Consider the following 27,134-nt stretch of genomic DNA (forward strand, 5'->3'; position numbering starts at 1 on the left):
GCTCACACCTGTAATCCCAGCACTTTGGGAGGCCGAAACAGGCGGATCACAAGGTCAGGAGATCGAGACCATCCTGGCTAACACAGTAAAACATCATCTCTAGTAAAAATACAAAAAACACAAAAAAATTAGCCAGGCGTGGTGGCGGGCGCCTGTAGTCCCAGCTACTCGGGAGGCTGAGGCAGGAGAATGGCGTGAACCCAGGAGGCAGAGCTTGCAGTGAGCCGAGATCGCGCCACTGCACTCCAACCTGGGCGACTAAGTGAGATTCCATATAAAAAAAAAAAAAATCAGGTCAATTGTGTGGGTATACTTACATAAAGTTTATTTTGCTTGGAATTTTGTAGCACATTTGAGATGATAAATCGTCATTATTTCCCTTTTACTTAAAAGTAGTCTTTTTGATTTGAAAATTTAAAAACTTGACAAAAAGAAAATGTCAATATCTATGATCATTACCCTTTTTCTGTGTCAAAAGACTAGGACCTTGAAATAACACCAGCATGGTTCTTTCATGGTTCTGGTCCAGCAGGAAGTCATGGAAATTCCACAGGACACCATAATCTGAAGGCAAGCCCCTCTGTTGCCACTCAACAAATGATAAATAATAGTAACCATCTGAGGTGTTCAGACTAAGTTTTGTGTATCTTCAGATTAGCCATGCTTAAGTATGCACAACAGAAATGGCCTGGAAGGGAACTCAAATGCTTATGAAGATTCAAGAGAATTTCTTATCAATAATTTTAAGATTAAAATTTTTAAATTGCTCTAAAGAAACTCTCATGCCGTATATTTTCTCACCCCTCCTTTCTATGGAACTCTTCTGGATTTAAATTTTGTGGGGTAGAAATGGTGCCATTTCCCAACAGAAGAAAACAAGAGTGAGGCAATGAGATGGACGGGCACATGCTGCCATCTTCTGGTGGTAGTCTGATCAGATGAGAAGATGGGAAAACCTTCAAGCATGGTAACAAGCATCATTTAGAAAACAAATAACTTTTCCAATGTTTTTAACAGGAGTGTGATCAAGTTCATATAGATGATGTTTCCTCTGATGATAATGGGCAGGACTTAAGGTAAGCTATGCCTTTCAGTATGCTGTTTCCTACAGAAATTCGGCTGTGGAGTTTTGCACATGTAATTATTTCTTTTTAATGTATTTTGGGTGTTACAGTACCTACAGTTTTGCAACTGATGGCTTCCATGCAGCTGCAAGTAGTGCAAACCTTTGTTTGCCAACAGGTGTAAGAGGAGGGGTTGACTGGATGAGGAAGTTGGCTTTTCGTTACAGAAGAGTAAAAGAATTATATAACACCTACAAGAACAACGTTGGAGGTATGTGTGGCTTTTTCAATCTAACAAAGGTACTCTGGGTATAGGTAGAATTCAATCTGTAGTTTCATGTTAAAGATGATTCTGCTGTAAAAGAAACAAGCAAAAGCTCATATTAAACCACATTGAGCCAGAAGTTTCTTAGAATTGGTGGGAAAAAATTTAACTACAAAATAAAACATGCACCACCGTCACATAAATTGGGAATTCTTTGTGTAACCTTGTGCCCAGATGTTTGGTCAAGATTTATACCAGGGCATTTAGTTGACCCTTTATCAGCTGGTGCTTGGAGCATTATCAGTGAAAATCAGACAGAGGAACTAACCGAGGCAACAGAAAGAAGTCCTTTCTCAAGTAGAGAGCCTCAATCATTGAAGGACGGTGGTTAGCAAGCATTATCTTTCTGGAATCCCATCAAAAATAAATATAAACAGTTATTAATGTCATTTCAAAGACTTTCAACAGGTTTATTTTATCTTTTAAAAAAATCATGTTTTATGTCAGTGTATCATTCTCATGCATAGTGTCAACTATGATTATCATAGTTTTTAAAAGTTCAAATAATCTGTAGGTAATATCAAAACCATTTTATACCCCTTCATATATTTTACAGGTGATATCAAAACCTTTGCTATCAAAACTGTGATCCTGGATGTGCTTCTATATATAAAATAAACCTTGGTGATATCTTATTAGAATCAATTTTAGGTAAACAAGATTCCTAAAATTTGCTATTAGGTCACATCAGATTAATCTCCCAGGATTTTGTTTCTTTATGTGCTTCTCTTTTTTTCTAAAAAGGAAGAGTAATTGAGGAACATAAACTAGAATCCAATATACTAAATATACATGTGCATACTATACATACATATATTCACATATATATCATAGAATACAATATAGTAAATAAAATGTTCATATATAGTATATAATCACATATATCCATATACATCATGAGGGTGGGGCTATGTGTCTGGTCACCTTGTATCCCCAGTGCCTAGCAGTGAAACACATAAGAGATGCTCAACAGATACATAATAACTGTAAGAGAACAAAAAATGTAGAGCCAAAGAGGATAATAATGTTAGCAACAAAAGGGAGCTTAGATATGGAAGACATTCATTTCCAAAAAGAAATTGACCCCTGCAAGCTGCCGACTTGCATGGGGTGCTGGGGAGAATCTCTGATTTCCTGATTTGCTCTAGTGCTCTGTACATGATGCTTTTGTAAAATCAAATAAGTAGATTTTCTAGTTAAAATCAATGGTAGATAATATGTTTTAACTTTAAAATAAATATCCCCTTGGGAAATCTGAGTTAATTTTTATCATTCAGATGTCATCATTTCCTTCTTGCGGTGTATTAATAAAATTATTTTAAGTTAACAAGAAGACTAAGAAGTAATCTTGTATCTTAGAAACTTTAAACAACCACGAGTCTACTTTCTGTCATACGTGAGCATCTCTCTATTATAATGAGGACAAATGAGACTTGCTAGAAACTGTAAATTTTGATTGAAAAAACCATACAAGTGTGTATGTGCTCCCGATATTCTAAAACACAATTTCAATAAGAAACCTTCCTTTTTAATGGATTTACATGATCTTGTTTTATCATAAAAGCAAGAACTGGATCTTTTAAAATAAAAAATTAGCACATCTATCTTTTTTCTTTTAACATCAATATTATAATTCATGATTGTAACTGTCCTACACTTCATGATTTTAAACAAAATTATTAATTTTTTACATAGCAAAGTATTTATAGTAGCATTAGCAGTAGTATTAGAAACATTTTAACAGCTACATATGATGATGCCATTGTTACTGTTTGAAAGTGGAAATGATTGTGATTATTAAGAAGCTAAACGTTTTCAGACAGTCAAAACATTTGGGATTTGTGTCCCTAGGTTGGTGAAGCCCAACTATTCCTCCAGACCTCAAATATCACAGTCCCTTGGAATAAGATCCAGGCAGGGGCATGTTCAAAGCTCTTTAGATGATTGAGATCCACTGCGCTAGATTGTAGGATCAGTGAGGGCAGAGACTGGGGCCACTTTTCAGTGGCACTACCTGAGACCTAGAAGTTCAGTAAATATTCATTGACGGAATCAATGGATATTCAATTCAGAAACGAAGGATCAATATGGACATAAATCTGTATCTCTCTGCATTTCTGATATATACTGAAATAAAAATGATCTATTCCAGACAGAAGGGAATCTAAACTAGATATTCTGAGACAATATTCATCTCTCGACTCTGCCTTGGTTTTTTGGTGTTGCAGGACTCCTTGGCCCTGCCAAGAGGGATGCCTGGCTACAGTTAAGGGCAGAGATTGAAGGTCTGACAGATTCCTGGCTAACAAATGCACTTAAGTCTTTATCAATTATTAGCACTAGGTAAGTGGAATTGTTACCTTTCTATGTGTATCGTATTGAAGATTTAGTTCTAATTGTACAACATAGAAAAAATGTTTTAATTCCTAGACTGTTTTAGACTTTAAGGGACCTAACAATTCTGAGTTCAGTGATTTTTTCAATTTCAGTGCATGTGCATGAGAGAGAGAGAGAGAGAGTGTGTGTGTGAGTGTGTGTGTGTGTGTGTGTGTGTGTGTGTGTGTTGGGATGAGAGAAGGTTGCTGCTTCTCAGAATAAACAGGAGACCCTATCTCACCACCCATCTCTTCTCATAGCAACTGATAATCCCCACAGAATGGTTACATGACTTCTAATGAAAAAAGAAAGAGAACTCAGTTGGTGGCAAAGTACAAGGGGGTGATGGCAAATATGAAACAGTACTGTTGATACAAAAAGGCATGTTTTAGGTGTTAGGCCATAATGGATAATACACATAATGTAAGCACATCAGAAAAGCAGGAGAAAGCTCTTGAAAAAATTCTAACCATTTTGTTGTTTGAACTAAACAGTGAAATTCTGACTTGTGTCAGTATACAGAGCAGAATTAAATTGATTTGTAACCAGTTGTACAACCAGGTGCCAAATATGCTAATTCATAAAGTGATGTAAGTAAGTCTGGAACGTGATAGCTGGTAAGGTAGAGTTGAATCTCTGTACTGTCCGCTTCCATTATTTTATATCTGAGTTAGGTGAATAAATAAAAGCATGCTTAATAAGTGGGAGCTAAATGATGAGAACTCATGGACACATATAGGGAAACAACAGACACTGGGGCCTACTTGAGGGTGAAGGGTAGGAGGAGGGAGAGAATCAGAAAGAGTAACTGTTAGGTACTAGACTTAGTACCTGAGTGATAAAATAATCTGTATAGCAAAACCCCGTGACCTATATAGCAAACATGCACATGTATCCCTGCACCTAAAATAAAAGTCAAAAAAAAAGAATCTGTCAGCATTTCCATTAAGAAAAGATTAATGGGTCAGGCGCAGTGGCTCATGCCTATAATCCCAGCACTTTGGGAGGCCGAGGCAGGTGGATCACGAGGTCAGGAGATTGAGACCACCCTAGCCAACATGGTGAAACCCCATCTCTACTAAAAATACAAAAAAAAAAAAACAAAATTAGCTGGTCGTGGTGGTGCACACCTGTAGTCCCAGCTACTCGGGAGGCTGAGGCAGGAGAGTTGCTTGAACCTGGGAGGCGGAGGTTACACTGAGCTGAGATCATGCTACTGTACTCCAGCCTGGAGACAGAGCAAGACTCTGTCTCAAAAAAAAAAAAAAGTAAAGAAAAGATTAATGAGAACGTGCAGTATTTGCTTTTTTGTTCCTGTGTTAGTTTGTTAAGGATAATGGCCTCCAGCTCCATCCATGTCCTGGCAAAGGACATGATCTCATTCTTCTTTATGGCTGCATAGTATTCCATGGTGTACATGTACCACATTTTCTTTATCCAGTCTATCATTGATGCACAGTTAGGTTGACTCCATGTCTTTGCTATTGTGAATAGTGCTGCAGTGAACATGTGTGTGCATGTGTCTTTATTATAAAATGATTTATATGCCTTTGGGTATATACCCAGTACTGGGATTGCTGGGTTAAATAGTAGTTTTGTCTTTAGATCTTTGAGGATTCGCCACACTGCCTTCCACAATGGCTGAACTAATTTACACTCCCACCAAATGCCGCATGTTCTCACTTACAAGTGAGAGCTAAATGATGAGAACATGTGGACACATAGAGGGGAACAACACACACTGGGGCCTTCCAGAGGGTGGAGAATAGAAGGAGGGAGAGGATCAGCAAAAAGAAAAATGGGTATTAGGCTTAATACCTGGATGATGAAATAATCTGTACAACAACCCCCCATGACACAAGTTAACCTATGTAACCAACCTGCCCTTGTACCCCTGAACTTAAAATAAAAGTTGGAAAAGAAAAGATCAATGAATAAGATGACAAATTGTTAGTTTTAAAAAAAGAAGAAAAAAGCATGCTTAATAAATGTATGGGGAACACAGCATTCAGAGAAAGATTTATTTGGACTAATTGAATCAGAATGCAGAAAAGCCTGACAGGGCAAAAAAAAAAAAAGTTAATATTAAGAACATGAAAGTAAATGAATAGTTGTCACATCCTGCACAGCTTCTGACTCGTGGCACAGGCAGAGCTGCATGGATAGCAGAAAGTCCAAATGGAGAGCGGAGGGGAAGTAGCTTCCTGTGTCTGACTGGGGAAGCCATGGCAGCTTAGTTTGTCAGTTCTAGGGACCATATTCCAGTGGGGGCTGTGGCAGGGTTGAAGCAGCCTGTGTCAAGTGTGGCAGTCACGGGTTTGGACTGTGGGAACCACCTAAAAGAAACAGATGGAAGGAGGAGCCAGAGAGCTTAGTCAGAAGAGTCATGTGCAGAACCAAGATTACCAATTTCACCTGTTTCAGACGTTAGGCTGAAAATCAATTAGATTTCTCCCTGTGTCTGGAAAGGAAAGAACTGGGACCAATGAGTAGGAATCCTGCAAGGGAGATTCTGGCTCTATATAAGGAAGAAATGTCTAAACCAGTTGAAATGGGACTTGCTATCTCATGTCCTCTGTAATTGGTGACAAGAGAGACCAAATGTCAGGGACGCTGGAGCACGAGGACCCCTGAGCCACTGACATGATGTGTAAAATGTAGTGGAGTGTGCATTTCTCTGAGAAGGAGGTTGATAGCTTTCATTATTTCTAAAAGATGTCTTCTATATAAGTTAAAAAAGATGATTACATTATTAGATTATATATACTATATAATATATACAGATTAATTATTAAACAGATGGCTTTAAGGCAACTAAAGGAATATGTGATATTCCAGAAATAAATAAAGATATAACAAGGAAGGGAGGAGAAAAAGAAATCAACATACATTGAGTAGTTACATGCTATGGAATTTGCTGAGTTATCCACATATATTACCATATTGATACAATTGCAGTTTTGCCATTACTTTTAATGGCAAAAAACAAAATTGCTTTTGCACCAACCCAATAGTTTTCACAAAATGCCTGGAATGTCAGAAAAACAGATGCTTTGTTGAATTATGTAGTAGAACCCCTAGCAAAATTAACTTACCCTCTGACCCTAATTATTCTGTGAATATAGTCTCAGAATAACGAAAGATGTAAGAATATATTTTGGTAGCATTACTTGTAATATTTAGAAATCAAAAGCCACTTAAGCAACTCAATTTAACTCTAAAAAATTCTGGTGCATCCCACACCACACCTATTCCAAAATTGACCACATACTTGGAAGTAAAGCTCTCCTCAGCAAATGTAAAAGAACAGAAATTATAACAGACTATCTCTCAGACCACAGTGCAATCAAACTAGAACTCAGGATTAAGAATCTCACTCGAAACCGCTCAACTACATGGAAACTGAACAACCTGCTCCTGAATGACTACTGGGTACATAACGAAATGAAGGCAGAAATAAAGATGTTCTTTGAAACCAACGAGAACAAAGACACAACATACCAGAATCTCTGGGACGCATTCAAAGCAGTGTGTAGAGGGAAATTTATAGCACTAAATGCCCACAAGAGAAAGCAGGAAAGATCCAAAATTGACACCCTAACATCGCAATTAAAAGAACTAGAAAAGCAAGAGCAAACACATTCAAAAGCTAGCAGAAGGCAAGAAATAACTAAAATCAGAGCAGAACTGAAGGAAATAGAGACACAAAAAAACCTTCAAAAAATTAATGAATCCAGGAGCTGGTTTTTTGAAAGGATCAACAAAATTGATAGACCGCTAGCAAGACTAATAAAGAAAAAAAGAGAGAAGAATCAAATAGACGCAATAAAAAATGATAAAGGGGATATCACCACCAATCCCACAGAAATACAAACTACCATCAGAATACTACAAACACCTCTACGCAAATAAACTAGAAAATCTAGAAGAAATGGATACATTCCTCGACACATACACTCTCCCAAGACTAAACCAGGAAGAAGTTGAATCTCTGAATAGACCAATAACAGGATCTGAAATTGTGGCAATAATCCATAGCTTACCAACCAAAAAGAGTCCAGGACCAGATGGATTCACAGCCGAATTCTACCAGAGGTACAAGGAGGAACTGGTACCATTCCTTCTGAAACTATTCCAATCAATAGAAAAAGAGGGAATCCTCTCTAACTCATTTTATGAGGCCAGCATCATTCTGATACCAAAGCCAGGCAGAGACACAACAAAAAAAGAGAATTTTAGACCAATATCCTTGATGAACATTGATGCAAAAATCCTCAATAAAATACTGGCAAAACGAATCCAGCAGCACATCAAAAAGCTTATCCACCATGATCAAATGGGCTTCATCCCTGGGATGCAAGGCTGGTTCAATATATGCAAATCAATAAATGTAATCCAGCATATAAACAGAGCCAAAGACAAAAACCACATGATTATCTCAATAGATGCAGAAAAAGCCTTTGACAAAATTCAACAACCCTTCATGCTAAAAACTCTCAATTGATGGGACGTATTTCAAAATAATAAGAGCTATCTATGACAAACCCACAGCCAATATCATACTGAATGGGCAAAAACTGGAAGCGTTCCCTTTGAAAACTGGCACAAGACAGGGATGCCCTCTCTCACCACTCCTATTCAACATAGTGTTGGAAGTTCTGGCCAGGGCAATTAGGCAGGAGAAAGAAAGAAAGGGTATTCAATTAGGAAAAGAGGAAGTCAAATTGTCCCTCTTTGCAGACGACATGATTGTATATCTAGAAAACCCCATTGTCTCAGCCCAAAATCTCCTTAAGCTGATAAGCAACTTCAGCAAAGTCTCAGGATACAAAATCAATGTACAAAAATCACAAGCATTCTTATACACCAACAACAGACAAACAGAGAGCCAAATCATGAGTGAACTCCCATTCACAATTGCTTCAAAGAGAATAAAATACCTAGGAATCCAACTTACAAGGGATGTGAAGGACCTCTTCAAGGAGAACTACAAAACACTGCTCAAGGAAATAAAAGAGGATACAAACAAATGGAAGAACATTCCATGCTCATGGGTAGGAAGAATCAATATCGTGAAAATGGCCATACTGCCCAAGGTAATTTACAGATTCAATGCCATCCCCATCAAGCTACCAATGCCTTTCTTCACAGAATTGGAAAAAACTACTTTAAAGTTCATATGGAACCAAAAAAGAGCCCGCATCGCCAAGTCAATCCTAAGCCAAAAGAACAAAGCTGGAGGCATCACACTACCTGACTTCAAACTATACTACAAGGCTACAGTAACCAAAACAGCGATATAGATCAAAGGAACAGAACAGCGCCCTCAGAAATAACACCGCCTATCTACAACTATCTGATCTTTGACAAACCTGAGAAAAACAAGCAATGGGGAAAGGATTCCCTATTTAATAAATGGTGCTGGGACAACTGGCTAGCCAAATGTAGAAAGCTGAAACTGGATCCCTTCCTTACACCTTATACAAAAATCAATTCAAGATGGATTAAAGACTTAAATGTTAGACCTAAAACTATAAAAACCCTAGAAGAAAACCTAGGCATTACCATTCAGGACATAGGCATGGGCAAGGACTTCATGTCTAAAACACCAAAAGCAATGGCAACAAAAGACAAAATTGACAAATGGGATCTAATTAAACTAAAGAGCTTCTGCACAGCAAAAGAAACTACCATCAGAGTGAACAGGCAACTGACAAAATGGGAGAAAATTTTCGCAACCTACTCATCTGACAAAGGGCTGATATCCAGAATCTACAATGAACTCAAACAAATTTACAAGAAAAAAACAAACAACCCCATCAAAAAGTGGGCGAAGGACATGAACAGACACTTCTCTAAAGAAGACATTTATGCAGCCAAAAAACACATGAAAAAATGCTCATCATCACTGGCCATCAGAGAAATGCAAATCAAAACCACAATGAGATACCATCTCACACCAGTTAGAATGGCAATCATTAAAAAGTCAGGAAACAACAGGTGCTGGAGAGGATGTGGAGAAATAGGAACACTTTTACACTGTTAGTGGGACTGTAAACTAGTTCAACCATTGTGGAAGTCAGTGTGGCGATTCCTCAGGGATCTAGAACTGGAAATACCATTTGACCCAGCCATCCCATTACTGGGTATATACCCAAAGGACTATAAATCATGCTGCTATAAAGACACATGCACACGTATGTTTATTGCGGCATTATTCACAATAGCAAAGACTTGGAACCAACCCAAATGTCCAACAATGATAGACTGGATTAAGAAAATGTGGCACATATACACCATGGAATACTATGCAGCCATAAAAAATGATGAGTTCATGTCCTTTGTAGGGACATGGATGAAATTGGAAATCATCATTCTCAGTAAACTATCGCAAGAACAAAAAACCAAACACTGCATATTCTCACTCATAGGTGGAAATTGAACAATGAGATCACATGGACACAGGAAGGGGAATATCACACTCTGGGGACTGTTGTGGGGTGGGGGGAGGGGGGAGGGATAGCATTGGGAGATATACCTAATGCTAGATGACGAGTTAGTGGGTGCAGCGCACCAGCATGGCACATGTATGCATATGTAACTAACCTGCACAATGTGCACATGTACCCTAAAACTTAAAGTATAATAATAAAAAAAAAAAGGAAAAAAAAAAATTCTGGTGCATCTACATGGTAGAGTAGTTTTTTTTTTTTTTTAATTATACTTTAAGTTCTAGGGTACATGTGCACAACGTGCAGGCTTGTTACATATGTATACGTGTGCCATGTTGGTGTGCTATTTGTTTATATCTATTAACTATTATTCCCACCTCCCAACAAAACAATGTATAAAAACTACTCTACCGTGTAGAGTATATACATGTATAAAACTACTCTACCGTGTATGTACTCTACATTGTTTTGTTGGGAGAGGGGAATAATAGTTAATAGATATAAACAAGTAGGCTCATGATATAAATACATAAAGTAGAATACAAAATTGAATATACAGAATGTTCCCAATGGGAAAACAAAATCTGTATATGAACAGAAACACTGAAAGTAAATGCATGAAATGGAGAAAGCAGTTTTCTCCAGATGGTTAAATAATAGTTAATGTTTTTTGTTTTCTTCTTTATATTTGTCTTTTACAAATTTTCCTGTTACAAGTATATACAGTGTTTGTAATTTAAAAAGAAATGTAACTCTGAATATCACACAGTGCAAGTCACAAAAGTTCATATCCAAACCACATCTCGAAACTTTAAAAGCCTGTGCTTTATTTCATTCTACCATGTTTTCATTCTGTAACATTTTGTAACATTTGCCTACGTATGACTTTTAATAGCATATTGTTTTGACGAAATATTTTGTAGAACTTTAAGCATCACAGTATAGTCATGGGTTTGTATATTCTTCTTAATAATCTGCCATTATTGGAGGAGTGTCTGTCTGCTGATAGGCAATAGTAATGAATTTTGAAAGGGACCATTAATTAAGGAATTTAGAGACCACAGTGACAATTTTAAATCTATTAGAAGTTATTTAGTATTAGAAAACAAACATGTATATTTCCTCCCTATTTTAGGAGTAACTGCATAAATGTCTTGGTAACGACAACTCAACTGATCCCAGCACTTGCGAAGGTTCTACTCTATAGTTTAGGAGGTGCTTTCCCCATTGAGAATATTTACAGTGCAACTAAAATAGGTAAGGAAATTATTTTAAACTCTGTATGGAATGTGTCCACATCTGTGTGTCTCTGCCTAGTTCCCTTTTTCAGCAATTTCACTTAGTACATGAAACAAATTTGGATAAAGTTCAAATTACAAAGTCCCCTACAACTCATTGTACATGTATGAATTTTTTGAGAACTGTTGCCTAGTGACATTAAGAACTCAGTATCTGAGTATAGATATTTCATTCTTGTATTTCACAGAATATTACAGCCCATGTTATCTAAATAATATGTAATACCTCTAGCCATAGTATTTAATAGTTTAATTAGTTTGGCTTATAATGTTGCATCCTTGCATATGCAGTAATCTAGATCCAAGATAAAAATACAATTTTGGCTTTGCAGGGGATTCTTTGATGGATTGAACGAGTGCCCTTAATTACAGAAAAAAATTAAGAGTTTTATGTATCAGAAAACATAATAGGAATATTCATAACACATGAGCGACTGGAAATCTGCATTTCCAAAAATGTGCAGTAGCAATCAAAGAACCACAACCTTGTTTATTTAGATGATATCTGCTTGTGGAGCCATCTTTGATTTTTAAGTGCATTTCTCGCAGACTCCAACTTCTAATAAACATTCAAAAGCAAAACTTCATCAACTTCTGCCTTATTGAAAGACTTAAAACTGATGTATTCCACTGTCTGTCAAGGAAATACTTGGGAAAATAAATGGGTTGTGTAATATGCCTTGAAGGTCAACAAACTTAGGCTCTGGCACATTGACAAGAGAAGTTCAAAATCCTAAAATCCCCCACCAAAAATAACCTGCCCTGGGCTTTGAGGAGGTCTGATGTTGGCCCTGGCAAAAGGAGCCTCCAGTGGCAGCTGTTTCAAGAGTACAGTTAAGGAGAGCCAAGCTTCCGTAGAGTAAATTTCACATTGTCATAAGCACTACAGTTCAGAGCCTGGATATCAATACCATACATTTTTAATCTAAATGTGTGTATTTATGTCAGCAGGACTAATAGAAAGAAGGTAATTTTGCTTTTTTGATGAATCAAATAATTTTACAGCAGAATAAACATTTATTTTAGTAAAGACAATATTCTTTCTGTTGGCGAAATAGTTCCTTATATTCTTTAATCTGAAACAAAATCATTTTTATTTTTTCCATTAAGCTAGTATTTTTTGGACTTCTGAACCATCAGATTAAGAAAAAAGGCAGAAGTAGCCATGGCTGCATGAACATTCTGGGAGTGAAATTTAGAGAATAATGCCAATGTTTTAAAAACAAAGAATATGTAGAAATTCCACGGTGATGTTCCCGTAGTGCAATAAGAGGATACCAGTGTTGTCAGTACTGTGGCCCAGTCAGACAGCACCCTTAGCAGAAGTTATTTGAGCAGGCTAACTCTCACCCACTTGAAGAAAGGTGTTGTTTATCAAGATAAATTCACTTCTTAGTATTTCCTCTTTTTTTAGCGGTGAACCTTCAGTTTTTCTCTAGAACACATTTAGCTGACTTGTCTATGCTACTTAAAATTGATTTACAGAATTAAACAAAGGTTAAAACTTATAGTTGCTTGTAAAGTTACCCCAATACTCTGTTGGTGGAGAAAAACATACTAATATTTTCTCTAGGTCAAATGCTTATCCCTACTGATGTTTTTGGAGTGTGAAACACATTTGTTTAATCATCTGTCCGAAGTAACGCCTTACCTTATTCAAATATATGTTGATTTCATAAACCCAGAGGTTGTGAGCCAGTTCAAGTGATGTTCAAGAGGCATTAACTTAACACTTTATGAATCTTTAGGTTAATGAATGCAGTGGCTGGAAGAATAAGCAGTGCATTGTTTTTCAGGCAAGGAAAGCTGTTTTGAGCGTATAGTGTCCAGATTTGGCACTAACATAACTTATGTTGTGATTGGAGATGGCCGAGATGAGGAGCATGCCGCTAACCAGGTAACTTCACTCTGAACTTTATCTCATTTATCTTCCAGGAAAAGAAAGTTGCTTTGAACGAATAATGCAAAGGTTTGGCAGAAAAGTAGTGTATGTTGTAATTGGGGATGGTGTAGAAGAAGAACAGGCAGCAAAAAAGGTAACCTGTCTCAAACAATGTCGGTGTGATACTTCTAATGCAAGCCTTTTTGTTTGCATTTCTGTAGTTTGGCCCAATGGCAGCTTGACAAATGATTTAAATTTATAGATGCAAAGCAATAAGAGCATGAGAGGGTCAATACTTACATTCAAATAAACCATTTGGAGTTTAGCATTTTTTGCCTGAAATTTGATAGGAAATGCAGGGAAATTTAGTTATATTTATTTATGTGTTTGAAAGTATATACATATAGTAAATATATATAGTAACATATATATTTGTGTGGGCATGTATACACATGCTTATATAGATGCATATGTATATATTAATACACATACAATGTGCACAGATATAGATGAGCCAGGGGATCTGCAAGAAAGATTGGGGGGGAGAATAACCATTGTTAAGCACATGAAATTTAGCAAGATAGAGATTAATGAGCTCCATACAAAAGTCATGTGAGTAGTTCATGAGACCTGCATGCCATATGGTCCTCGTGAGTGCCTGGAAGTAGGCATGCTCCATGATAAGGAATGCTGAGGGCAGATTTAATAGCTGAAGAAAAACTGCTACAAGAGATTTTAATAAGTGCTACTGAAATGGGATGTATTGCTCAGATCCTTTTGCACCAACTTGTCTTAGCCGTAATGTGCCTCACATCTCCTAGAAGAGTTTCATCTGTTTTGGTGAGCCAGTGGTACTTGATTGAAGCCAAGCAGCTGGCTTTGAACACATTCAGAAGATCCCATGGGCCCTAAGTATTTTAATAAGCCTTTTCATCTGGCCCGTATTTCTGAAGAAGAAACCAAGGCAATTAAAAACCATTAAATGGTTGGTTCAACATCAAAAGAAGAATGATATCAGGATTGGCCCCCACCACCAGACTGTCAACTCCACCCTAAGATCTACTGCTGCCTTCACCGAATGATAGAAAAATATCATCTACCCAAGATAAAAGTGATAGAATTTACAAAACAAAGCCAGATGATGAATTAGTATTTTTAAAACAATGACATGCCAGCCTATACTGTTTTACATAGAAAGAATGTCATCTGTATCACCCTAAGGAGATTTTAAATCATCATCTAATAAAGCCTTTGCCATTTGCATGTGCTGGAATGTTTACCTGTTTTCAAAAAACAGTCAACATAGACAGTTTTATAGAAAAGTTTATGGCTATAAGAGAAAGAGAAAGGAAATGATGTATGTTTCTAGTCGATTTAAATCAAGCAAAATGGAGAAAAGGAAAGCACTTCCACTTTAGAAGTTTTGGTGACGTATTGGCAGCCATACTTGCTTTTCGATTACATTTAAGAGAGTAGGCTCAGGCTCTGCCTGCCACAGAACACCTCAGCCTTCATTAGCAGTGTCAATGACCCAAGACAGCACACTAGCCCCAAGCACGTCCTGTATGAGGTCAGGGCTGCAGCCTCAAGAAATACGGCTTTCATTGCTGACTACTACTTCAAATGCTTCCAGTCACACTGAACTGAAATATCTTCTGGAGTTTGTCAATGTCCTGAGTCCATGTTGTGATTTTTCTTATTGGCACCATAGTTATACACAACAAAGAGCAGCCAATGATTAGTAATACAGCCCCACTCCTGCTAAATTTACATGTCTTTTAGCCTATGCAAATTAAATTCACGTATATTTAGGTAAGGACTAATATAATTCAGTTTTCCAAACCAGTAACACAATATGCTTTTGACAATTAAAACTTAGCCGAGTCTACCTGTTTTCCACAGCATTAATGTTTAGATTCGGTTTACCAGTTGTTATACCTAAAACTTCAGGAGGGAAACGCATAACCCTGAATGGAAAACAATCTCAGATAGAATGCTATTTCCAAATGGTTGTTTATGTAGGTACAGTTTTGGTGATGGTGAAGGCTTATTATTCTATTTTAAAACAGAGGTGATTGGTTTCTCTAGTACCCAGAATGCATGCTTTTCTTTGGATGTAGCGGTAATCGCATGTGCAGAAATGTTAAGTACTGTTTTGTTGTTACAAATAGATCTGAGCTGAATGAAAAAATGTTACTTCTATGTGAATTTCAGTGACTTAATTTGACCTAGACATATTTTGTCTGAGAAATTTAAGAAGAAATATCAAAGTTTAGGAATAGGAATGTCTAGCTGCGCTCTTCCATAGAAACATGTAATATTAATACAAGCTGTATATGTAGTTTGAAATTTTCTAGAAGCTACATTTTACAAAATTAAAGAGAAACAGGTAGAATTAATTTTAATAACATGTCAACCCAGTATACCCAAAATAATTGTCTTGATATCTAATTAATGTAAAAATTATTGAAGTCATGTTTACATTCTTTTTTGTTTGTTTGTTTTGTCCTAAGTCTTTGAAATTCATTGTGTATTTTAAACTGGACCAACCACATTTCAAGTGCTCAATAGCCACATGTGGCTGGTGGCTACCATAGTGTGCAGCAAGGAATTATATAGCAATAAGGATTATTATGCTACTTAGTTCTTAAATAAAATATCTTTTGCATGTTTTATATCTATATACTCATTTCCCTTATATACATGAATATTTTATACGTACATATTCTAGAAGATGTCATCAGCCCAAACTTAACAAATCATGCTTTTGTTTTGTCAGTTCCTGTAATGCAGTGTTTTTTCTTTTTCATTATCATCGCCAGTGGGGACTCTTTAGACAGTTTTTTTCTAATTACTCCCTTTCATGAAATTTTAATGTCACATATGTACTGTATACTATTATAGTATATCTTTTGAAGGCCACAAACCACTGTAATGTCTAAGATTTTCTGCCCCACAAGAGCTCATTTGTGTCCCTTTGGAGATATCTTCCCCATTGAAAATGTATGCTAGAGTACTTTCTCTCAATTCTACGCCAGTGAAATAAATCAGGTCGACTCTACTGGCTTAAGTTATTGGTTGTCCCAGACAAGTAAGAAAGTTATAATCCCCACCTTTTTTTTCTACTTTATGTAGTCCTGCTTCAAATTATTTTTATACAGAAAGGAATTCACCCTCTTTTCTTCCTAGATTAACAAAATTAAGAAGTTTGTCATTTTGTTTCATTTTATTTTTAATTGAGAGGCCCGTAGGAGTGATGCACTGATTAAAACTTGCTTTCCATTAGCCAGGTAGGATTTTGATGCCCACTTGCTTTCCCAGATGTTGATGTTGGTAGCGATACTTCCAGAATAAATATTAAACTATCTAAGAAATGTTAATATTTGCTATTATTCTCATTAAAATCCAGTTCAGATCTATTTCTCTGTTACTTTGACAGTGCCATATTGGTGCTGCCAAGCCTTCACATATGATCATCCCGCCTTTAAACTCTCTCCCCTGAACTTGGGTGGACCACACATCCCTGTGTGTGCTGCTGCTTCATTGAGACAATGGTTGTGATCTCTCTCCATGCCTCATTCCTTCCCCTTCTCTCTCCCATCCCTCCTTCTCCTAACCACACAGCACAACATGCCCTTCTGGAGGATATCCAGTCACTCAGACCTCCTGGCTCTCCACCAAGCACTGGAATTAGAGTATTTGTAACTGTGTTCTTTAGCCGGAGATCCATTTTTTATATTTCAAGTACACTGAATTTTTATGTGTGATTCAATGCCTCTGGCTCTACACATATAAATTGTCTTAATGGATGAAATCATATTTGGAATAAAAATTCCAGAATGAAGAATTCAGATTGCTGAATGGAGTTAAACTTTAGTGCTACAGAAAAGAAACTCTATGGTCTTATATTTACAACACTTTAATGGGTTTTTTAAAAATCTGTGGAGGTTGCTGGTACACACCAAATGAGTCCAAACTGGAATGAGCAGCTTTAGCAAAGAACTCTTACCCTGGCAAAGCAGCAACACACATGCTCCGTCTGACAAGGTGGTCAACAACATTCCTCAAAATGGGAGATCTTCTCAGCCCTGAGGTTTGAATCTGACTTTAGCCTACCTAACCCAGAAAATCTGAATTGGAATGCACTCAGACTGTATAAGGACAGTCCTATTTAGACATGTAATTTGTGTAAATTATTGATGAAAATAATTTACTGTGACTTTATTAGCAGCTGACTTTCAAAGTGGATGCAATTTTTCTTTCTTTTGTTGGGGAGGGGAATGGGAGGGGAAATGGGAATATAATATTGTCTCTTTTTTAAGTTTGGCAAACAGAATGTTCATACTGATGTGTTGTGCCTTAAAGACAAGACAGCATTTGTGTGTTACAATGTAACTTTGGTTAAAATCTCTGTAGATAATGAAAAAAAACAAAAAAAAAAACCTTTGTGATGATTCTTAACATGACCAAATTTAAAAGTCAAGCTCTCAGAGCTTAATTACCGCATCAGCAAGAAACTGAGTATTTTTTGCAATAAGAAAACAACAATAATAAAGGAAAGCTTGTGTTTCATTTGGGTTCTTAATAATTCCAATAATTGTATGAGGCAACTATTTGCGCATCCAACCATGAGTGGAAGGTTTGGGAAAGACTGTGGGACCTTTACTTAGAAAGTGAAATGTATGTAGAAGTCTCAAGTACCCCTTCTACAGTTTTACTGGAGAAAACTAAGAGCCATATTCATGACAACTTGCACAGTTTTGAGGTTGAGACTTTTGATATGTGTAAGTTGCATAGAGGAGGATATTATCATGCAAATCATGAGCAATTATCACATAAACTTTTTTAGAATGTGCCATGAACATGGCATAAAATTCACATTGAGTGCACAGGGCTTAAAATAAAGCTAAGTATGTTTATTCCCAATGCCATGGCAAAAATGATAATATCATCAGAAATGGAAGGCAGTTCTCCCAGATGGTGTCTAATGAAAGCAATGAGTCTATGAAAATTTTACCTAGAATATCATCATAAATTAAATTAGCAAGTGCGCTGGATCTTGGCAGCGCTGCTGAAATGACAACAGTAAAATAATACCTGGTTCTCCATCTGAATACATCAATGCAGGTTCTCCTCGTAACAGACTTGCATATGTTTGTTAGTTTCTGCCTGTATTGTCACTGCGCAACGGATGGCATTCATTACAAGAAGAGCCCATCATCGTTGTGTTTGCATGGTTTTTTTCCTTGTGTGTAGCCCATGTTGGGAACACGATACAGGTTCTCCTCTTATTTCCTATGACACGATTTCCCTTGTGGAAATTTAAGACTTTAAGAACTAGAGTATTTTTATGGTGTCTGCACCTGCAGTTCTGTGTTTAAAATGTCATAATGTGGATCCTGGAGTCAGGCTACTAGTCAGTGCCCCTAGCCAGAGGCTGGTTCATGAGTTCATCAACTGAGGCCTCTGTGGCTTCAATAAAGTCTACATTTTGCTCACAGATCACAACATTCACTGTGGAAATATGATTTCATTTCTTTAGGCTACAAACCTGTATTTCTTTACTGAATGCTAAGGCCATGTTTATATTGGGTAGAAAGATATTGAGATCCCAATTTTGTACAAGATTGTGATTTCATTATCTAAACCTTAAACTTAATCCTTTAAATTTTGTAGCTTTTGGCTGCATCTGCCCCAAGTACTATTCCAGGCAAATTAAAGTTGGAATACCTTTAATAATATAAAAATAATGATAGTAAATCTTATACTTCTGTTGGCCCTTAGCTTGAAAATAGCAGTTAAAAAAATTTAAATGTTGCCTTGATTATCAGTACTTAATTATGTTGTGCACTAAAACCTTAAATATTTATTACTGTGAATAAAAACAAATTATCTTTACTGTATAGCTGGTTTCTTTAAATGTTGATAGAATTGTGGCATTACATCTAAATTTGTAAGTCTTTTCATATCAAACAAGCAAGGCTTTTTATGCTGCTAAGTCTGTGGGTGCAGAAAGAAACACCCCTTGGAAGGGCAAAGAGAAGCCGGCTGGTTGCATCACCCCGTGCAGTTTCTCACACACATCTCTTTTTCTGATTCTGTGTTCAGAAGAGGCTGCCGGCATAAAACCTAAATGCAAGGTTGACGGAGAACAGCTTGTCTGGCACAACAATGGTGCAGGCCCACGAGCCAGCATCACAGCTTGGCCATGGGACGTTGAGTATGCACAAACTAGAACTCTTCCCTTCCCACCTTAGGAATAGAAAATCCTCTTCCTTTCTAATCTGAAAAACGAAAACTGAACAAACACAAAACCAACCCCTTGGCAGTTCCCACCTCCTATTGACATATGGAATATTGTGCCTTATTGTAAACCAGTTTGAAAAATGTTCTGTAACTAAAGTGGGTTTTCGGCTATTATGTATACAGCTTGGTATATTACTACGAAAGATAACCACCTTGTGTTGCACCTTAAAAATATCAAGACCATGTAATTTCCATAACAAAATAGGTGGCCTGGCTATGGTATTATAGCATACAATTAGGACACTATGCCCCTGCAAAATTTTGTAAATCAAATTCAGAGGCAAAAACATATTTTAGAATCATACAGTTTGCACACGACAAGTAGGTAATAACTGTCTCTAAAAATGTTTTCTCCTTAGTCCGCAATGAGCTAAGATTCAGAATAGTGTCAACAGCATGCTCCTATATGAAGTTGTTTTTTTTAAAGCACATTTGTTTATGACAAGCCTACATTCTCAGTGAATATGGCATTTAGTATTTCTTTTGAAAACAAACTTAAGCATCATGAGCCAAAGTTGCACTTTGACTCCCAACTACGGTAGCATTATGGACATCTCACAATGTCAAGGGTTTCTGTTATGTATTAGTAAAGTATAGATTATTGGGGCCTACATAATTTAAAAGAAATGTAAATTAATATTAAAAGCTTGTAAAAATATGTATATCTTTACTATTTCTCAATAAATACCTTTGCAATTGTTTTCATTTCCTTCACCCTCCCATGTTGTAGAGTTTTTGTGTGTTTATTTAGCTTGGTTCTAAATCATGTGAAATTTGTATTTAGGTTTCTGGTCTTCATAACTTTTCTTTTTTATGCCTAAGTTGCATAATTTCCAGTTAAAGCAAAATGAGATGTAACACAGTAAAACGTCACTAATTATGACTAAAAGTGAGCTGCTTTACTGAAAAGATGTCAGTTGCATAATTTTTTATACACAGGTAGCTACATTCAAGTAAGTATAATGCATAATGTAGCCACAATTCACTAATGATAAAGTAATTAAAATATTTAGACCTATTAGAATATTTAAAGCAAGTATCGTTTACGTGAATATGGGACATAGTTTATAAGTATCTTCCAAGAGGATAAAAAGGTAGTTTTCTGTAACAGATTTAATAGCTCCTTTATTGTCTGGTGTATAGTATTTATTTATTTGTGAATCTGTTGTTCACATGTAAACCAAATGCAAATTTCAGATAAACCTCTGCTCATTCACAACCTTTAAAAATGTTAGCCTCCAAATTAATGGTATTTAAGTGGAGCTATGTGGCAACATTCTAGTAAGCCTTACACCATCCAAAAATCAATACTGATTTACAGGAAAACAATGGAAATGTTTAAAATAAATTTAATATGTAAACTTCTTTTGTTTTCTCTTATATCCAGTTGCCATTGAAATTGAATTTATGAGAAAGACTAAATTATACATATCGTATTCCAGCTCCCCACTGAACTCCAAACAAATGTATCTTGTTTGCCTATTTATATACCTGCTTGGAAGAAACGACCTCTCAAATCAACATGTCCAAATCTGAGCTTGTGCTTCTGCGCCGGCCTCTTCTCACCTCTCCCACGACTACCACCCCAGCTGAAACCAGCATCCTTTCTCACATAGATAAGTACATCAGCCTCTAGCTTAGTCTCCCTTCTCTGGCCCTCACACCCTTTCACCATCTCATCACACTAGCCAGAAACATACCGTGCATCAGAGGATATCTCTCTCCTCTTCTTGGAAACCACCAGCTCGCTTGGCACAAACACCAGTGACCTTTGCAATGGCCTGTAAGCCCACAGGCAGCATCCCTGGTGAGCTCTCCCTTCCTCTGTCTCACAACTCACTGCCAAACTGGCACCTCCGTGTTTGGCACATACCTGCACCCACCCACCTGCTGCAGGCCTTTTGCACTCACCATTCCTTCCACTTGAAAAGGTTTTCACCCAGATCTTTGCATCACCTATGCCCTGGGTTTCTTCAGTTCTTAAAGAACACCTTTTTGCTGTAAAGGTCCTCCTCTCTGAAATTGCACCTGCTTCCCAACACCTCTAGCATTTTCCTTCTTTACTAAGAAAAAATACTTAGTTCTTAGATTAATCCAGCATGATACACATTTATTTTTTGTGTTGTTGATTCATCCATTACAATGTATAAACTTCAGGAAAACACTTGCATGAGCATGATCTAGAATTGAAGAGATTTAAAGTGGTAGAGGACCATGTGTGATGGCTCATTCCTATAATCCCAGCACTTTGGGAGGCCGGTGGGAGGATCACTTGAGTTCAGGAGTTCAGGACCAGCCTGGGCAACATAGAGAGACCCTGTCTCTCTCTCTGTCTCTCTTTTTCTAATAGCCAGATGTGATAGTGCGTGCCTGTAGTCCCAGCTACTCATGGTGCCAAGACGGGAAGATCGCATGAGCCTGGGAGGTGGAGGCTGCAGCGAGCTGTGATCACGCCACTGCACTCTAGCCTGGAAGACAGAGCAAGACTCTGTCTCAAAAAAAAAAAGAAAAGAAAAGAAATGATCGAGCTAGATTTGAAAGGGAAAAGGAGAGAAGAAAACATACACAGGACCTGTGTAAGTTTTTATACCTTAGCTGGAGTATTTGCTGGCCTAATTTATGGAAATAAAGAACAAGGATGGCCATAAGCAAAGATGTAATTGAAGAAAGGTTGTATGTGACCTGAGAATGATCGTCTGGATAAAAAACGTTTACAATGAATCAGCGATTGCCTCCTTTATACTCCCTTTTTCCCTTTCATAAAAGAAAAAGTATGCAATATTAGTAGGCTTAATTGACTTACATTACTTAAAGCCACACACAAACAAACATGTAAAAATCAGATCTCTCTGCAAACTGTGGTTCATGATTCTGAGTCCCTGAAACAAACAACAACAAAAAAAATTTTAAGTGTCGGATGTTGTTTAGTTACCAAAAGAGAACCATTTATTTTTTGATCCAGGGTCTTGCTTTGTTGCCCAGGCTGAAGTGCAGTGGCACCATCATAGCTCACTGTAACCTCGAACTCCTGGACTCAAGCAATCCTCCTGCCTCAGACTCCGAAAGTGCTGAGATTACAGGTGTGAGCCACTGCACCCAGACTAATAACCATTATTTAACATCTCTGCATGGTTTTGTATATTCTTTAAAAGTTATTGGATGTAATTCTGGCAAAGTATGCATGTGTGCTAATACACAGGTCGCTACACAAAGCAGTCTACATTTGACTGTGCCAGAGTCAATTCTTGAGATATACTGCAATCAACAAAGATGCCCTCTCAGAGCCTCAAGGGGAAAATGTTCATTGTGCCCAAGTTCTGACTTTCAATGGAAATAGTAGCCATTATTCCTTAGCTTTTCCTTCATCCACAGAACCTTCCAGGTCTGTGTTAGCACACAGTTTGAAAGATCTCCAAATGTAATATGCTAAAGGATCTCTGACAATGCATATAACTCCATATAAGCCAGATGACTATTTTCCCTCCCAACAAAATGCCTTTTGATTGCAGCTTGCAGGGACAGTGTCTCTATGGCTAAAGGGCAATGCATTGTCCTTTGTGGTCATGAAATCTTAGATTTGTGTGCCTTATGTCTGCTATGATGCTGCCATTTTAGTTTTCTGGTGAGCCTTCAGTGAAAATACATAGAATTGAAAGAGGGTGTACTGGAAAAGGTAGAGGGACCACCAAGTAAATCATCCTCCACAGAACCACAGCAGAGTACTGCTGACCCTAAACTCATCACAGTCCTGACCCTTAAGGTTCTTATGCTTTTCAATCGGGGTGACTCTTAAGATAACGAATGAAGGGTGTTAGCAGGGGATAAGCACAGGGGCATGGTGAGTCACTTGCAGAGAAACCTAACCAGCCCTTAAAGGGAAGATTCTTGGAGAAAATGAGTCCAAAGCTGAAGCCCCAAGGACAAAACCGAGAAGGCCAGAGCATTTGCAGGACTGGATTGGAAGCATATAAGCAAAGTGGAAAATATGTAAGAGAATGCAGGTAAGAGGGAGAAGGGTAGAATGGTGTAGTCAGGGAACTGCAAGTAATTCTTGTTTCTGAAGCATGGAGTGAATAAAAGGAATAGTAAGAAATGAGACTGAAAAAAAAACAAGGGCCACTTGGTGAGGATTTTTAATACAGCATCAACCAATTTCAGTTTTACTCGGGTATCAGTAGGTACTGAATGAAAGGTTTGTTAACAGAGGATTTATGTGTCCCAGTTTATATCTTATAATAGTTACTCTGGCCAGGCTGAGGAGAGTGAGGGATCTAAGAGGCTGGTGCAGGATCCTGGAGAGATTCCTGAATTAGGTGATGGGCATGAATATGAGACAGTGCATAGATTCAAAGAAATTAGGGTATTAAGAATACCTTAGTACTTCGCAGTGGTTGCTTCTTCACCTCATGTCCTCAGGAAAATCCAGCCTGACCTCTAGGTTTCTGGCTCGGGCAGTTTGGTAGATTGTAGTGCAGTTTGCCGAGATGAGAAACACAAAAGAAGTAAAAAGATTCTACTTGCTGTTTTTATTGTAGTGGGTGATGCTTGTTGTTGGAACGAGATACTGAGACCAGTTTCTGGAATTGTTAATTTGAAGGTGGTGGTATCCTCAAATGGAGTTGTCCAATGCAAAGTTGAATTTGTAGTAACTTCACTATTGTCTGTTAAATACCTTGCCAAGTCATAACTGAATTACTCGGAGCACAGTAAATAAAACCCTAAGTAATTTGATTATGTCACATCAGTTAATGATTTAAAATCACTTACAATTTGTGCAAACTTGAGACAGCATAGTGGAAAAGCTAGGAATGATGACAGTAATACAGTGTGTGCATGGCTGATGAACACCATGGAAAATTATTTGGGGTCACCAGTTGATTTAACATCATGCTTTCCCATCTCCTGCATTACCCCAATTTCCAGTAGATAAAGTAGTAACATACCTGGATTTACAACCCTGAAGAAATCCAAATGCCTCTATGAGCTTTTCATCAGTAACTTTTGTACAAAAAAGTCATCGCCAGCTTATGTCTGCTTGGAAACCAATATGGCATTCTAATTTATTTCCCAAAGAAAACATTAAAGAGCTTCACAGCAGAATGACAGATGATTTAATCACCTATTTTTAGACAGATTAATGTATTCCAAAAAAATGTGGTGATCATTAAAACATACATTTATGGTGGAATAAACTATTTCATAAGAGCGGGCAGTAATATCTGGTACGTGAATAGGAAATAAAGTTAATGCCAAACACACACGTATAAAACCATCCTGTTTGGCTCATGAAATTATTTCTACATCAGTTATGAGAACAGCAGGAGGGTGGGATGGAGCCACTGATGAGGGCAGTGAAGAAAAAGTGGTATAACATCATCTTTTAAACTTTCATCTACAGTTTTACAAATGATGAGTGCATCTTCTAAATTTTCATCACCCACTGATTTTCTGAATAAAACCTACTACCACAAACTGGCCACTTTTGGCAACACATATTGTTGCCATGCATGACTCAAGAATTCGTTTTAAAGAAGAGAAAAGGGAATGTTTTTCTTATTTCTGTCTAGGCAGAATGGGGATATTTATCCATGTTCCTTCTTCTTATCCTTGAAGGCCCTGTAATTGTTTTATTCATCCAACCACAGCACCATCTTCTGGGCACAGAAGCTGGTACCACTGTAGCAAGATGGGGAATGGGAGCATGTAGGATGTGATGCTTTGATTCAGTCACTCGCTCTGTAGCCAGCTTTTCAGCGAGCATACTGAAAAGAGGAAGGAAACTAACGTTTGAAGAGACTAATCAAACTAACATTTGAAGAGGCTAATCAACTAATGAAGAGACTAATCAATGCTTACCTTACCATATATTACCTGATTTAATTATAACACCCACGAGAGTCAGTGTTCTTAGTCCAATTGTATAGTTGAAGTGACCTCCCAAGATTATACAACCTGTAGGTAGCACAGACAGAATTGGAACTTAGTCCATTAGGTGGAAATTATCTGGACTGCAAAATAGGCTCATTGCACCATATCTTCTGTCCATTGACTTCAGTTGAGTTGTTTAGCACTTGAAGGGGTATGATCTGAGGGAAAGTGCCATCAAGAGCAGGTGAGATTGCAAGCAATGGAGTTAACTGTCACTGTTTTTTCTCTCTGTGAATATAATTGCCATCCAAGTAACTCCTGTGTTGCCTATGTGAGAAATGGCCTTTATGTAGTAGGAATGTTAGTTCTGCAGATAAGCAGTAAAAGGACCCTAAGCTGATTATTTGACTTGATGATTGGAATTATATCCAGTCCTATATGAAGGCCCAAGAGATAACTATTCAATTAAAGCTGCTCAATTAATTTGCATTTAAGTTAAGATACATTTTGCAGATTCCTCCCTTTTAAAACACCTTTAAGCATGCATATCAACTGCTCTTAATACAACAGACTTACAGGCTCCCTAACCTACAGCATGGTTCCAAGAAGGGTACTGGACAGGCTTCTGATTAGAGTGGGGAATTAGGAAGGTTCTGGGGCCACCTAATATAGGAAAAATAAACCATGATGGAGCATTGAGTCAGCATGATTTATGATTTTAGGAGTATCTGAATGGAAGATGTTCAGAAGCAAGTTCCTAAAGGGTAAGTGGAGAAAAGCTATGTAGCCAAGTTTACCTCTTTTCTGAAATTCTATAGTGGAGATGATTTTTTTTTTTTTTTTTTTTTTGAGACGGAGTCTTGTTCTGTCACCAAACTGGAGTGCAGTGGCGCAATCTCAGCTCGCTGCAACCTCCGCCTAGTGGAGATGATTTTTTTTTTTATTATTGTGGTAAAATACAGATAAAGGTAACGATCTTAACCATTTTTAAGTGTACAGTCAATGGCATTAAGTACATCCACATTGTTGTGCTGCTGTCACCACCATCCATCCACAAAACTCTTTTCATCTTCTAAAACTAAAACTCTACCCATTGAACAATAACTTCCCATTCTCCTCTCCCCTTAGTACCTTGTAGCAACTCCTCCACTTTCTGTCTCTACGAATTTGACTACTTGAAGTACCTCATATAAACAGAATCATATAGTATTTGTCCTTTTGTGACTGGCTGATTTCATTTAACAAAATTTCTTTCAGGTTCTCCTGTTTTGTAGCCTATGTTAGAATTTTCTTCCTTTTTAAGGCTGACTAATAATATGTGTGTATACTATATTTTGTTTCTCTATTTTTCCATTGATGGGCATTTAGGTTGCCTCTACCTTTTGGCTCTTGCAAATAATGATGCTATGAACATGGGTATACAAATAACTGGGTCCCTGCTTTAAGTTCTTTTGGATATGTACCCAGAAGTGGAATTGCTGGATCTTGTGTAATTCTATGTTTAATTTTTTGAGGAACTACCATACTTGCCATACTTTCTATGGCAGCCACACCACTTTACAT

At 37.3% G+C, this 27,134-nt stretch overlaps 1 protein-coding gene and 1 long non-coding RNA gene across 31 annotated transcripts in view; one reads left to right on the forward strand and one right to left on the reverse strand.

Moving 5' to 3' along the window:
* EYA4 (EYA transcriptional coactivator and phosphatase 4) overlaps window positions 1-20,425 on the forward strand; it is a 291,536-nt gene extending 271,111 nt beyond the window's left edge. For 10 of the 30 annotated variants that reach the window (XM_047418278.1, XM_047418282.1, XM_047418288.1 and 7 more), the window contains 6 exons: window positions 1,018-1,076; window positions 1,175-1,335; window positions 3,618-3,732; window positions 11,353-11,474; window positions 13,312-13,412; window positions 17,022-20,425. In XM_047418278.1, coding sequence (XP_047274234.1) covers window positions 1,018-1,076; window positions 1,175-1,335; window positions 3,618-3,732; window positions 11,353-11,474; window positions 13,312-13,412; window positions 17,022-17,102 — 639 coding nt within the window. In that variant the 3' untranslated portion in view covers window positions 17,103-20,425. Of the gene's footprint in view, window positions 1-1,017; window positions 1,077-1,174; window positions 1,336-3,617; window positions 3,733-11,352; window positions 11,475-13,311 lie in introns of those variants that run through there. The other 20 variants (XM_047418279.1, XM_047418286.1, NM_001301013.2 and 17 more) reach the window with 4 other exon arrangements.
* The window catches only part of TARID (TCF21 antisense RNA inducing promoter demethylation), a 386,755-nt gene that overhangs the window by 9,452 nt on the left and 350,169 nt on the right, over window positions 1-27,134 (reverse strand). The window contains exon 6 of the long non-coding RNA NR_109982.1: window positions 24,077-25,655. This is a non-coding gene — a long non-coding RNA (TCF21 antisense RNA inducing promoter demethylation). The remainder of the gene's footprint in view (window positions 1-24,076; window positions 25,656-27,134) is intronic.

Source organism: Homo sapiens, chromosome 6 (assembly GCF_000001405.40).
Source record: "Homo sapiens chromosome 6, GRCh38.p14 Primary Assembly".
Lineage (NCBI taxonomy): Eukaryota > Metazoa > Chordata > Mammalia > Primates > Hominidae > Homo > Homo sapiens.